The sequence below is a fragment of the Homo sapiens genome, chromosome 8 (genome assembly GCF_000001405.40).
Source record: "Homo sapiens chromosome 8, GRCh38.p14 Primary Assembly".
Taxonomy (NCBI): domain Eukaryota; kingdom Metazoa; phylum Chordata; class Mammalia; order Primates; family Hominidae; genus Homo; species Homo sapiens.
In genome coordinates, this window is record NC_000008.11 from 30,113,444 (window position 1) to 30,129,306 (window position 15,863).

The window sequence follows — 15,863 nt, forward strand, 5'->3', positions numbered from 1 at the left end:
TACCATAAAAGTTGGGACCCCTGCCAAAGAGCCTGTCATCGCTGCAAGTGGTGGAATCCAGGAGCAGGAGGGGGCTTACTGAGGCAACTTGCAGAGGGAGGACTTGGGGTGTGGCAGGGGAGCAGCCAAGCCGGCAGATGACTACGCATCTCCACGTACACACAGGTCTCCATCTCACCCTCCATTATGGGCCGGAGAGAACATGTTTCCTGCAGTAGCGAGGATAAGAATACCAAGTCTGGAAGAGCAGCCACCGGGCCCTCTGCTCAGCAGCACATCGTTTTCATCCGTAATGCTGGGAAAACACTGTGCCTCTCCGTTTAGTGAGACCCTCAAGCAGTCATGGCTGGCCGTCCAGCCAGGGGGTCTCCATGCAAAGAGGATCACCCAACAGTGCAGGAAGAAAACAAATTCAGAGAACTCACCACTGAGGAAACAATGGAATACACCGAAGCTCCGTTTTTACAGTTTTAAGTATTGGAGCCACCCACCGGCCTAGGGAGACCCTAGCAACTGTTGTACAAAGTCAGGCTGATGAGGGTTAAAGTTAGAGAACATTTTACATTTTTTGCACCCAAATCCAATTAGGCTGCCCCAGGACTGAACCCTAGGGAAAACATTTTGGTTTTCCTCAGAGGCTCTCTGTTTTATCACAAAGATGGATTTGATTCAAAGACACATAGTATAATCTTAATATGGATAAACCTTATTCAACAATGTATTCTCCTTCCTTTAACACTCGTCCTGAGACAATGAACCCAGAACCTGCCATCTGCTTGGATAGGAAGGTAAGGAAAAGTTATGCTCAGAATGACACATCTTACATGATATTTTTTTGTTTTGTTTTGTTTTGTTTTATTTTTTTGAGATGGAGTCTGGCTCTGTCACCCAGGCTGGAATACAGTGATGTGATCCTGGCTCACTGCAGCCTCCACCTCCCTGGCTTAAGCAATTCACCTGCCTCAGCCTCCCGAGTAGCTGGGATTACAGGCGCCCACCAGCACACTCAACTCATTTTTGTATTTTTAGTAGAGACAGGGTTTTACCATGTTGGCCAGGCTGGTCTTGAACTCCTGACCTGAAGTCATCTGCCTGCCTCAGCCTCCCAAAGTGTTGGGATTGCAGGCGTGAGCCACTGCGCCCAGCTTACATGACATTTTGGTTACCCACCTAGAACCCTGCATGGCCCATTGTGGACATTTATTCGAGTTGGAAAACTCTGATGGGAGTCCAGATGGGCTCAGTTATGCTTCAGCAGCGAACGACTCCCATATCTCAGGGCTAACAACAAAGGTTTATTTCTCACTCAATGTATCACAGATTGGCTGTGATTCTACTGGAATATTGTCTCAGGAACCTGGGCTATCAGTAGCATTGTCCGTCTTTTAGCAGACTTGGGAACAAGCATGGAGGCCTCCATGGTGGCTGTTAGATCTGCCTGGGGGTCACACGCACCTCCTCTACTCCCCTTTCATTGCCGGAGCAAGTCACACAGCCACACCTGATCTCAAGACATGGGGGAATGTGAACGCCAGCAAGACAGTTGACCGCCCTTCTTTATACAACTTTTCCCTTATTTCTCTCCTGCTCCTGAAACTCATGTACAGTATTTGACTTTTTTCTGATATAAATACTGTGGCCCAGGAGTGGTGGCTCATGCCAGTATTCCCAGCACTTTCGGAGGCAGAGGCGGGTGGATCCCTGGAGAGCAGTAGTTCAAGATCAGCCTGCGCAATATGATAAGCCTCATCTCTATAAAAATACAAAAATTAGCCGGATGTGGTGCCGCTGTGGTCCCATCTACTCCAGAGGCTGAGGTGGGAGGATCACTTAAGCCCAGGAGGCAGAGATTGCAGTGAGCCAAGATTTCACCACTGCACTCCAGCCTGGGCAGCAGAGCCAGACCCCATCTTAAAAAAAAAAATCTATATCATGTACCCCCAGATATGATGTACTGAAAAGCACACCACATTCTTACCAAAAATGCATACCTTCATCTAATCCTGCACCCTTGATCTCCCTGGGCTTAGGTGATCCTCCTACCTCAGCCTCCCAAGTAGCTGGGACTACAGGCACGCACCACCATGCCTGGCTAATTTTTTTTTTTTTTTTTTTTTTTTTTTTGTAGAGACGGGGTTTCACCATGATGCCCAGGCTTAGGAGAATGCTTTAAAACCTCACAAATAGATAAGGAAAAGACAAAAGGCCCAAGAGAGAAATAGCAAAATATATAAACAGGCAATTTCTGAATAAAAACCTGTAAGTGGCAAATAAAGAATGTGGGAAGGGGCATTATTCTCATTAGTAATCCAATAAATGAAATTTAAACATCAATATGATACTTTATATTACCCACAAATTTGGCAAAGATCTATAAAAATTTTAATACCCAGTGTTCCTAAGAAATTATAATACCCAGGTAGTACATATGAAAATGATCACTCTCATAGATTTTAGGTGGAAGTGTAAGTAGTTGGTCTCAACCTTCTAAAATGTAATTTGGTAGTAAATATTAAAAGCCTTCTGTAATGTTGTGATATAATAAGAAATATATTGGGAGGCCAAGCTGGGCGGATTGCTTGAGCCCAGGAGTTTGAGACCAGCCTGGGCAACATGGCAAAACCCTGTCTCTACATAAATATAAATAATTAGCCAGGTATGGTGGCACATGCCTGTGGTCCCAGCTACCTAGGAAGCTGAGGTGGCAGAATCACCTAAGCCTTGAGGTAGAGGCTGCAGTGAGCTGTGATCATGCCACTGTGTTCCAGCCTGGGTGACAGAGTGAGACCCTGTCTTAAAAAAAAAAAATTGGTTGCTACCCTCATTTCCTGGCACACAGCTCATAACATCTTTGCAGTTTGTTAGGTCAGCAGTCCCCAATCTTGTTGGCATCAGGGACTGGTTTTGTGGAAGACAGTTTTTCCATGGACAGGGAGGCGGGGGATGGTTTTGGGATGAAACCGTTCCACCTCAGATCATCAGGCATTAGATTCTCATAAGGAGCGCGCAACCTAGATCCCTCGCATGTGCAATTCACAATAGAGCTTGTGATCCTGTGAGAGTGTAATGCCACCACTAACCTAACAGGAGGTGGAGCTCAGGTAGTAATGCTCGCTCACCAGCTGCTTACCTCCTGCTCTGCTGCCCAGTTCCTAATAGGCCATGGACTGATACTGGCCCCTGGCCTGGGGGTTGTGGGGCTCGGGGGTTGGGGACCCCTGTCTTACGTGATAAATGTCCTTCTGTTCCTGAGTTGTATCCCTTAGGGTAAACAGGTAATAAAGTAAAGCACTTTCCTGTGTTCTATAAGCTACTGTAGCAAATGGTCAAACCCAAGAAGGGGGTTGGAACCTCTGATTTGTAGCCAAGTCAGACAGACATCGTGGGTTCTCTAGGGACCTACTACTTGTGATTGCATCTGAAGGGAGGGACAATCTTGTGGGACTGGGCCCTCACCCTGTGGGATCTGATACTAACTCCAGGTAGTCAGTATTAGACATGAATTGAATTATAGGACACCCAGCTAGTGCTGGAGAATTGGTCAGTATGGGGGAGAAAAAAAACCATACATTTGGTGATCAGAAGTATTGAGAGATGTGTGAGTAGAGGAAAAAAATGTTTTTTTTTCCCCTTTACACCTTCAAAATATGCATACTGTTTGACCTACTAACTCCTTGTATTGTAATCCTAGGGAATTAGTCAGAGACAGAAGATGATCATCGCTTTACTAATTATGGTAATGAAAAATCAAAATGATCTTAAGGCCAGGTGTGGTGGCTCAGGCCTGTAATCCCAGTGCTTTGGGAGGTGGAGGCAGGAGGATCACTTGAGGCCAAGAGTTTCAGACCAGCCTGGACAAAATAGTGAGACCCTGTTTCTTTTTTTTTTTTTTAATTGTCTGTGAGGCATTTTGTTTGTAAATATATGCTGCATTACATCCCTAGAAAAAGAATCCCAGGATTTTCCCTCCTGTGTGTTTTCATCTTGCTTCTTCATGGTCCATGATGCCAGCTGAGGTTGTCAGTACAATGAAACCAAACTGAAGGGATGGAAACAGATTTTCTGCCATTTTTCCAGATCTTTGAGTTGCACATCAAATCTGGGGCTGATCACTCCACACTTGTTTAGCCTGTCTGTGAGGTTCACAACAATTTTCCCAGCTCTGTGATCATCAATGATTTCAAATTCGCCAATGTAACCATGCTTCATCATCACAGTGAGAAACCAGACGATGACTTTGGAGCACGGCCTAATAAGCACCTGGCTGGCGTTTGCCTCTCTTTTCGGCATTGTTGATGCTCTTGAGAGCATCAGCCAGGACATTCATGCGCACCATTGTGGCGGCGCAGAAAGATGGCAGGAGGAGCAGTGAGACCCTGTTTCTATAAAAAATTTTTAAAATCTGAAAGTTAGCAGAAGATTGATTAAATCAACTGTGACTGTATTAGGTGGTTATTTAAAATTACATTGTAGAAAAATGCTTATAGACATAAAGTTTAAAAAGCAGGCTATAAAATAGAAATTAGTATGAATCTACTGTTTGGGAAAAAAATCTGTATATATATTTTTTGATTTGTTTTTTTTTTTTTTTTTTTTTTTGAGACAGAGTCTCGCTCTGTCTTCCAGGCTGCAGAGCAGTGGCAGAATCTTGGCTCACTGCAACCTCTGCCTCCTGGGTTCAAGGGATTCTCCTGCCTCACATTCCTAAGTAGCTGGGATTACAGGCACCCGCCACCACACCTGGCTAATTTTTGTATTTTTAGTAGAGACTGGGTTGGCCAGGCTGGTCTCGAATTCCTGACCTCAAGTGATCCAACTGTCTTGGCCTCCCAAAGTGCTGGGATTACAGGTGTGAGCCACCATGCCTGGCCAGAAAAACACAAATATATTAATATATGTACATACAGATACATGTGTACATGTGGAAAAAGCTAGAAGGTTATTATATTAATTTGCCAGGGCTGCAATAATAAAGTACCACAGACTGCGTAGTTTAAACAACAGACATTTATTTTCTCACTGTTGGAGGCTGAAAGTCCAACAGTAAGGTGTCAACAGGTTCAGTTTTTTCTGAGATCTCCTGAAGGAGTGGCCTGCCCCTCCACACCGGTAGGTATATCTCGTCAGGTGGGACAAGAGACTGAGAAAAGAAATTAAGACACAGAGACAAAGTATAGAGTTAGAACAGTGGGCCCAGGAGACTGGCGCTCAGCATATGGAGGACCTGCACCGGCACCGGTTTCTGAGTTCCCTCAGTATTTATAACTATTTTCACTATCTCGGCAAGAGGAATGTGTCAGGAGAGCAGGGTGATAGTGGGGAGAAGGTCAGCAAGAAAACATGTGAGCAAAGGAATCTGTGTCACAAATAAGTTCAAGGGAAGGTACTATGCCTGGATGTGCACGTAGGCCGGATTTATGCTTCTCTCCACCCAAACATCTCAATAAAGAATAACAAAGCAGCATTGCTGCCAACATGTCTCGCCTCCCTTCCTCTTTTACTAATCCTCCTCAGCACAGACCATTCATGGGTGTCGGGCTGGGGGATGGTCAGGTCTTTCCCATCCCCCGAGGCCATATTTCAGACTATCACATGGGGAGAAACCTTGGACAATACCCAGCTTTCCAGGGCAGAGGTCCCTTAGGCTTTCCGCAGTGCATTGTGCCCCTGGTTTATCGAGACTGGAGAATGGTGATGACTTTTACCAAGCATACTGCCTGTAAACATTTTTTTAACAATGCACATCCTGCACAGCCCTAGATCCCTTAAACCATGATTCCATGCAACATGTGTTTTTGTGAGCTCAAGGTTGGGGCAAAGTTACAGATTAACAGCATCTCAGGGCAAAGCAGTTGTTCAGGGTACAGGTCAAAATGGAGTTTCTTATGTCTTCCCTTTCTACGTAGACACAGTAACAGTCTGATCTCTCTTTCTTTTCCCTACAGTCTCCCTCATTGGCTTGCAGATGGCCCATTCTCCCTGTGTCCTCACACAGAAGTGTTAGGATTATAGGCGTGAGCTGCCACTGCACCGTATCTAGTTTTTTTATATAAACTTTACAATTCACTTGTCAATTTCTATTCTGTGTCTGTGTCCTAATTGTCTGATTTTAGAGGGATGCCAGTCATATTGGATGAGGGCCCATGCTAATGACCTCGTTTAACCTTAATTACATCTTTAAAGCCCTTTCTCCAAATATAGTCACATTCTGAGGTACTGGGGGTTAGGATATGAATTTTAGGGGAATACTACTCAGCCCATAACATCTATATACGAAAATATTAACTAGGTATTTTTAAAATATGGAGAGTTTTTTCGTGATTTTTTTATAAAAATGCTTTTAAGTTGGGCCTGGCGGCTCATGTCTATAATCCCAGCACTTTGGGAGGCCGAGGTAGGTGGATCACTTCAGGACAGGAGTTCAGGACCAGCCTGGCCAACATGGCAAAATGCCGTCTCTGCTAAAAATACAAAAACTAGCAGAGCGTGGTGGCGTATGCTTGTAATCCCAGCTACTAGGGAGGCTGAGGCAGGAGAATCACTTGAACCTGGGAGGCAGAGGTTGCAGTGAGCCGAGATGCCACTGCACTCCAGACTGGGCAACAGAGTGAGACTCCATCAATAAATAAATAAATAAATAAATAAATAAATAAATAAATAAATGTATGTTTTTAAGGCTGCACATTAAACTACCTCAAATAAAATAATAAAATTATAATTGATTGTCATTATTACTAATGAGTTTTGCCCCAAGCAAGTTTCTGAAAAGGGTCCAAATAGCTCATCCCTTTGAAGCAGATTCTGAGTTGGAAAATCTGTTAACAGTTGCTTCCTCCATAACAAACATAAAAGAACAGCATGGATCCAGATCTCCCCCAGCCATTTGGGGAGAAATAGAAGAATAAGAACTATCATAAGACTGCATGTGCATAAGATGTTACATGATACTCTTTTAGTTGTAAAATATAAAGAGGGCAAAATGTAAATGGTCGCTTAATAAGTTGTATGTATTTGTATATGCATATATATATATGTATATATTTTTTTAACTCTGGTAACAAAATACATAACATGAAATCTACCATCTTTGTTTAATTTTGTTTCTGAGATGGGTTCTTTCTCTGTCACCCAGGCTGGAGTGCAGTGGTGCAATCTCAGTTCACTGCAACCTTCGCCTCTCCGGCTTGAGCAATCCTCCTGTCTCAGCCTCCCATGTAGCTGGGACTACAGTCATGAGCCACCATGCCTGGCTAATTTTCGTATTTCTTTTTAGAGATGAAGTTTTGCCATGTTACCCAGGCTGGTCTTGAACTCCTGGGCTCAAGTGATCCACCAGCCTTAGCCTCCCAAAGTGCTGGGATTACAGGCATGAGCCACCACACCCAACTGTTTTGTTTTTCTTTTCAAACAGGATTGGCTGAAATACCATCTTAAATTATTAAGTGTACACTTCAGTATTGTTATATACCCGCATAATTCTATACAGCAGATCTCTAGAACTTTTTCATCTCGCATGACAAACTCTACTCCCATTCCCCCTGCTCCCAGCCCCTGGCAGCCACCATTCTACTCTGTTTCTGTAAGTCTGACTCCTCTAGGTACCTCCTATGGAATCATATAGCGTTTGTTCTTCTGGGACTGGTTGATAAGCTGTATATTGTTTACTGATTCCCATCCCCTTTTATCTCAGGAGCCTTGAAACTACATTTACTCGATTCTCTTACCTCCAGGGTTCTGTGTTTCATCTACATATTGTGTTTTGTGTGTTTTGTTGTTTATTGTTTTTGGGGTTTTGTTTTTGTTTTTGTTTTTGTTTTTGTTTTTTTTGAGATGGACTCTCACTCTGTCGCCCAGGCTGGAGTGCCGTGGCTCCATCTTGGTTCACCACAACCTTGGCCTCCTGGGTTCAAGTGATTCTCCTGCCTCAGCCTCCCAAGTAGCTGGGATTACAGGCACCCGCCACCACGCCAGGCTAATTTTTTGTATTTTCAGTCGAGATGGGTTTTCGCCATGTTGGCCAGGCTGGTCTCCAACTCCTGAGCTCAAGTGATCCGCCCACCTCAGCCTCCCAAGGTGCTGGGATTACAGGTGTGAGCCATCACGCCCAGCCTAGATATTGTTAATAAAATAAACTCATGAGATGACTTGGAAACCTGAAGGAAAGCAAAAGACATCCTTCCTCTGCCAGCAGTGGTATGTGGGCTTTGGTGTGTTTTTTCTGGGGCTGACAAGACTCTATTGCACTGCTTTTTACCCAATGCAGGGATGTGTGATTCTGGCAGTGGTTTCTTGGCCTCTGGATGGCAGTAGAAATGTCCTGGCCTCTGGATTAGGGGTGTGGGGTCTAACAGGAAAGCTGGTGGAGAGCTCCTTACCTTCTGCTCCCCTAAGCATTCCAGTGATTTCTTTTTTGTTTTCTTTTTATCTTTAAAAAAAAATTAGGCTGGCACAGTGGCTCACCCCTGTAATCCTAGCACTTTGGGAGGCCAAGGTGGGCAAATCACTTGAAGTCAGGAGTTCGAGACCAGCCTGGCCAACATGGTAAAACCCCATCTCTACTAAAAATACAAAAAATTAGCTGTACGTGGTGGCACGCGCCTGTAATCCCAGCTACTCAAGAGGCTGAGGCAGGAGAATCGCTTGAACCCGGGAGGCCGAGGTTTCAGTGAGCCGAGATCATGCCACTGCACTCCAGCCTGGGCAACAGAGCGAGACTCCCTCTCAAAAAAAAAAAAAAATTAACTTTAGGTGTCAAGGTAATTCAATGTGGAAAGAATCACCTCTTCCAGATGATTCTGCTGGGATAACTAGATATCCACATGCAAAGGAATGAAATTGGACCCCTACTTCACTCTATATTCAAAAATCACTCAAAATTTTTATGTAGAGTCAGGGTGTCACTATGTTGACCAGGCTAGTCTCAAACTCCTGTCCTCAAGCAATCCTCCCACCTCAGCCTCCCAAAGTACTGGGATTATTGGCCTGTACCACTTCACCCAGTCTAGTATTTTCATATAAACTTTAGAGTTAGTTTGTCAATTTCTATTTTTAGAAACTTTTGGGAGGGCCAGGCATGGTGGCTCACGCCTGTAATCCCAACACTTTGGGAGGCCAAGGCAGGTGGATCACTTGAAGTCAGGAGTTCAAAACCAGCCTGGCCAACATGGTGAAACTCCGTCTCTACTTAAAATACAAAAAAAATTTAGCCAGGTGTGGTGGTGCATGCCTGTAATCCCAGCTACTCGGGAGACTGCGGCAGGAGAATCCCTTGAACCTAGGAGGTGGAGGTTGCAGTGAGCTGAGATCGCGCCACTGCACTGCAGCATGGGCAACAATGCAAGACTCTCTCCCAAAAAAACTTTTGGGAGTTTAATTGGGATTGCATTGAAGCTATAGATCAATTTGGGGAGAATGAATCTTAACAATTGTAACAGTTACCTATTGCAGCATAGCAAACCACCCAAAACCTATTGACTTAAACCAATAATCATTGGTTCAGCTCACAAATCTGTAATTTGGTCCTGTCTTAACAGTACGTGTTTGTCTGCTCCACATGGTGTCAGCTGGGGGTTGGTGGATCATCTCCCAAGATGGTTCACTTACATAGCTGGCAATTGGTGCTGGATGTCTAAATGGGAGCTCAGCTAGTATGAAGGCCAGGGGTCTCTGCTCCTCTCCATATAAAACTCTGCCTCTCCATGGCAATGTGGCTTTCTTACATCCATTCCAAGAGTGTGAATCATCCCAAGAAAACCAGTCAGAAGTGTATGGATATTTTATGACCTACCTTAGAAGTCACGAAGCATCACTTCTGCCATACTCTAGTGGTCAACCCAGTTGTGTAAATGTCCCCCCAGGTTCAAGGGGAATGACCGTAGACCATTCAATGGGAAGAGTGTTAATGTTACATTGTAAGAAAAGCATATGGGAGGGAATATATTATGGTGTCCATCTTTGGAAAATGCAATCTGCCACAACAATATTGAGTATTTCAATCAATGAACATGATATATCTCTCAATTTATTGAGGTTTGCAACATCTCTCAGCAGTGTTTCATAGTTTTCCAAGTACAAGTCTTGCAGTCATTTTACTACATTTATTCCTAAATATGTCAGGTTTTCTCATGTCATACTAGCATTCCTCTGTTTCGCTCCGTCTCTCTCTCACTCACACACACATACATATACACACATACAAACCTCAAGTATGAAGTATGTTTGCATGGTTCCCATGTCTATACTTATTCCTGCTTAGGAAGCTCTATCCAGACCTATCATTTATTCATTTAGTCAAACAATAAATAACATAATTTCAATCAATGAAAAGTAAATGAACCAAATAGAGCAGAGTGAGGAGATGGGAATGATGGCATGGGAATGGGATTTATTTTAGACAAGGTGTTCCTCTCTGGCAAGATGTCATTTGAACAGAGACATGAATGATGTAAAGGAGCAGCATCTCTATCCACAGAGACCTGGGTAAGAACATTCTGGATAGAAGGACAAGCAATTTCAAAGGCTCAAAGGGAGGAATAGGCTTTTTTTTTTTTTTTCCAGAAGATAGCAAGGCCATTGTACCTGGAGTGCAGTGAAGAAGAAACTACCAAAACACAAAGTTGGTGAGATTGTTAGTCTTATACTAACTGTCTTTTATAACCTAATCTCAGAGGTGACATACCATCACTTCTGTCATGTAATATTCATCACACAGACCAACCTTGATTCAATGTGGGATGAAGAAAATGCCAGAAGAGGGGATGGGTCACTGGGGCCACAATGATTTTTTGCAGTTTTTGATCTTTTCATTAGGAATTGGGGAATGGAAATTCCTGTATCTGACTTCCTTCTTCCTTATCTACCCAGTAGTCTCTTGCACACTTGTTTTCATATAAATTTTCAAACCTATAAAAAATAGAATATATTGAACTCCCAATCAACCAGTTTCAACAATTCTGAACACATGGCTGTTCTGTTTCGTCCATGTATTCTCCATTCTCTCTAACTCAGATTATTTTAAAGCAATCCAAGATTAAATATCATTTAATCTGTGAATATCTCTAAAATGTGACCCTTCCTTATTCTTAAGAAAAACCACAGTATGATTATTACACCTGAAAAAGTTAACAATAAAGCTTTACTATCCAATTAGTGTTTAAATTTCCCTATAATATTCTTTCAAAGTCGGTTCATTTGAATCAAGATCTAAACAAAGTCCATATATAGTTCATAAATGTAGTTTATTATATAGTTATGTAAATAACTATATAAACAGAAAAAAGTATAAAAATAAAATGTACTTAGGGTCAGCTGCATATTTAAGAAATAGGGAGGAAATTACCTTTGCTCTTCTCTTCAATCCTAAACAACATGTTCCCTTGAATTCAGGTCATTACCATGAGTGTCATCCATTAGGAGTTAACATAATGTTCTTTCTACAGGGAAATGTCATCTAACCTCTAAACAAACAATTTAGAAGCAAAGTTGTGGAAAGCATTCCTTTAGTAAATTGAGAATGCTAGAAAACATCACCTCACATGTCCTCAGGCTAATGAATCCACTTAAGGCACTCGATGTAACATATCCAGATTGGCCATGAAACTAAACCAAAGTATCACTTGAATCTTATGAACTGCACAAATTCCCTGCAAGGAAAACATACGTACATAATTATCTCACTTGTTGTAACTTAAAAGGTGTTTCTGAAGAAAAAGGTGCAGCAAGAACCAAGTAAGACAAAAATACTTCCTTAGAAATAATCTGGCATCTCTAGCTGTTGTTATGATTGTCCCTGGAAACGAGCCAGAACAGATTAATAAGTATCTGACTGTTATGAGCTGCCAAATAAAGGCTAAGAAATTAAACCTACGATTCAGAAAAGAAAGAGTCAGAGAAGTTAACAGTGTTTTCTTAGTAGGAGAGAACTATTGTCAACTCTCAGTTTTTTGATGAGCCACAAAAATATCACTTTGTTCTTTTTATACAATAGAAAACAAATGGAAGGAATATAATAGGAAATGCCGGGTGTTTATAAAGAACCTTGAGCACTCAGCAGATTTTCTTCCATTGCTTTCTATAAAATTCTTGTTGGATGAATAGAGGCAGATTGGGAGATGGATGCCTTACTTTTTCTGCTTAATGTGTTGAAAAATTAATAGAACACTTATACAATCATAATGCCTTCAGTTTTAAAATTAAATACTCTAAAAGGAATATTTTATCCACATCCTGTTATGGCGTACTAGGAAACTTGGGGCCCAGATGGAATTGCTTGGGTCCCACAGTTGGCCTGTGCTAGAACTGGGACAGGGCCAGAACTCCTGCCTCCAGGAGAGGGGTTCAGACTGCTTCCCCATGAGATGGCTTTGCTAACATCCGAATCAGCCATTATCAGGAAGAAAATGCTAAAGTAGTCACGGCCATTTTACTCTATAATTTCCTTTGAAATGTTTCGGAAATAGATGCATTTAGACATTTGGAAAAAGCTCACATAAAATATAATCACTATCCCTTCACCTGTTAGTACTGAACTCTTAGACTATGGAGAATCAAGTTTCCTGAACCATCTCCTATGTTATAAATCTGTGAAGAATCTGTTGTAAGTGATTTGAATGTACTATCTAATAGTTGGCATTCTAATCAGGATAATTACTAATGATTGCAATTGGTCATTGCAATGCCCATAATCTATCTATAATCTTGCCTGCCACTCACCTCCTGTTGTGTGGCTCAGTTCCTAACAGGCTGTGGATCAGCACTGGGAGTCAGAGACCCCTAGATTATACCGTATAGCCTAGGTATGTAGTAGGCTAGACCATCCAGCTTTGTGTAAGGCCACTCTATGATGTTCATACAATGACAAAATAGCCTAACAATGCATCTTTCAGAATGTGTCCCCATATTAAGTGACACATGACTGTACCTTCCATTAGGCCCCATCTCCCAACACTGCTGCACGGGGGATTAAGTTTCTAACATTTGAACTTTAGGAGACACGTTCAAACCATACCAACCTCCTTTTCCAAGTCCTCATGGAATTGATGAATCCAGTATAGATGAATCAACAGACTGAATGTGTATCAGTGAAGCCTTCCTGTGGTTTGCTTTATGAAACTACATAGATAGAAAAAGGCCAAGGTTGGATTGTCTCCTATGGAAAAGTTTAACTACTTGAGTGGATTGCTAAACCTGGGACATACATTAAAGCCACTGGCTGCCTGTTGATCATGACAACTGTCTACAGATTAAGAAGGAGGCCAGCCCAGCTTAGTAGCTGCTATGATTCAGAAGGATGGGGCTGCACTATGAGGGTAGTATATTCAGAATAATATGTTGACAGGCCAGACCAGCACTATGGGAGGCTGAGGCGGGAGGATCACTTGAGGCCAGAAGTTCAAGACCATCCTGGCCATCATGGCAAATCCCCATCTGTACTAAAAATACAAAAAAATTAGCTGGATATGGTGGCACACGCCTGTAATCCGAGCTACTTTGGAATCTGAGGCATGAGAATCGCTTGAACCCAGGAGGCGGAGGTTGCAGTGAGCCAACATGGCACCACTGCACTCCAGCCTGGGTGACAGAGTGAGACTGTGTCTGAAAAAAAAAAAAGAAAATACAAAATAATATGCTGACAGATGACCTGAGTTCTCATGACACTTCCTAGGTGATGATGCCATTTCAATCTATAAATAATGAAGGCTATAGTTTCTTGCTGCTCTTAGAAAGGCTAATGCTATAGCTTTCTGCTAAACATTTTCTTATTAACCTTTGCCAGCATCCTGAGCTTGATGGTTTTCATGGCTTAGCTTACCCTCCTCTTAGGGATTTCTTAATCACCAAACTCTCAGACACTATTTTCAAACAAATGAATGAGATCCCCTGGGGACCTGAAAGAGCTGCCAGACCTCTCAGAGTGATTCGGCTGATGAAAGTGGGAGGCCAGAGGTCAGGAGGTGTGTGCCCAATGGGCGCTGTTTCCATGGGTTACTGAGCTCTAGTACTTGGTCCACAGAATTGAGTTCACTTGTCCAAGGCTACTGCCTGCAAGACAGAGACAGCTGGCCCCATCCTTGCATTTGTAAGGATAGGCACGATTCATCAAAATACTATTCTATACTTGGGAGGCAGACGTGGGAGGATCGCTTGAGCCCAGGAGTTCAATGCTGAAGTGAGCTATGATTGTGCCACTGCATGCCAGCCTAGGTGACAGAGTGAGACCCTGTCTCAAAAAAAAAAAAAAAATACACACACACACACACACACGTATATGTATTCTGCTTGGGCCAATAAATGGGCCAGAACAAGACAAAAAGCAGGGGTAACCTGAGGGTTACTTCTAGATCAAGCAAGAGAAGGAAAACATCAAATCCAGATCTGGAAGTGAGGTCAGAGAACATTAATGAGAGGATATTCCAGAAGGTTAGTGATTGAATTTTTTAAAAAGAGCGGGTGGGGTGTCAATAACCAGGTACTACCAGTCATGTAGCAAAGGGAATTCAGGAGCAATGGGCAGAGTCTTGGAAGTAATAGAGTGGGTAATGAAGGATAGGGAAACTGTTGCCAAATGGGAGGGAGCAGCGGGGGCAGGAGTTGGGAAGTGAATGAGTTAAGATCTAACAAAAAAATCAGAACTGGAAGGAGACACCTCCTCTCTGTTTCTGCCCATCTTGGATCCGGGCTGTCCTCTGGGCAGACAGATGGCTCCAGTCTACATCTCTGGCTCCGACTTCTTTCCTTAGATCAATTCCCACAAATCACTTTCTACTGTCCAGAGAAATGTTCTTTCTACTACTGTCCAGAGAAATGAATCATTCTCTACAGAATGCAAATAGAAAAAGAAGGAAGCAGACGTCCTGGTTTAACCAATCAGAGGAGTAGAAATTACCCCTGGCCATCAGTGGGGAGATAGATTTGGAGGCCAGATTGCATTTTAAAAGGCTTTGTTAACCAAGTTCTTTTTTAAATTTAACATTCCTTCATGAGCATTTCCCTCATCATGAAGAGTAGTCACTTAAAAAAATTACGGGGCTGGACACAGTGGCTCACGGCTATAATCTCAGCATTTTGGAAGGCCAAGGAGGTTGGATCGCTTGAGCTCACGAATTCGAGACCAGCCTGGGCAACATGGCAAAACCCTGTCTGTACAAAAAATAAAAAAAATTAGCCGGACATAGTTGTGCGTTCCTGTAGTCCCAGCTACTTGGGAGGCTGAGGTGGGAGGATTCCTTGAGCCCAGGAGGCAGAGGTTGCAGTGAGCCGAGATCATGCCACTGCACTCCAGCCTGGGTGACAGAGCCAGGCCCTGTTTCAAAAAAAAAAAAAAAATACTGAAGTGTAACATATATATGGAAACTTGCACACATCTAAAGTGTACCTCTCGAAGGATTTTCATCAACTGCACACACCCCTAGACAGCTCCCCAGAAGTGCCCCTATAAAAAGCACTCTGTTTTTCTTTTTTTTTTTTTGAGACAGAGTCTGAAACTATTTTTTGAGACAGAGTCTCTTTGACTATTCCCAACTCTGGGAAACCCCATTTATCTACTTTGTCTCCTCTGAGCTACTGAGTATGGTGAGAGAAAGTATAGAACCCTTCTGGTTAAGGCACTACAAGTTTTGGGTTTGTGTGTGTGTTTTTTAATAGAGATGGCATCTCCCTATGTTGCCCAGGCTGGTCTCAAACTCGAGGGATCAAGAGCTCCTCCTGCTTCAGCCTCCCAAAGTGCTGAGATTACAGGCGTGAGCCACTGCACCCCACCAAGGCCACTACAAATCCTTGCCATCTCTGTTCATCAAGACCCTCACTGTGTTATGTTCTGAGTGCTAAGATTGGGCTCGTTGTTTGCCTTCATGTTAATCAGTGAT

At 42.9% G+C, this 15,863-nt stretch overlaps 1 protein-coding gene and 1 pseudogene across 1 annotated transcript in view; one reads left to right on the forward strand and one right to left on the reverse strand.

The window, feature by feature from the left end:
• The window catches only part of LEPROTL1 (leptin receptor overlapping transcript like 1), a 42,941-nt gene that overhangs the window by 18,036 nt on the left and 9,042 nt on the right, over positions 1–15,863 (forward strand). The window lies entirely within an intron of this gene.
• Positions 3,897–4,366, reverse strand: RPS15AP24 (ribosomal protein S15a pseudogene 24; annotated as a pseudogene).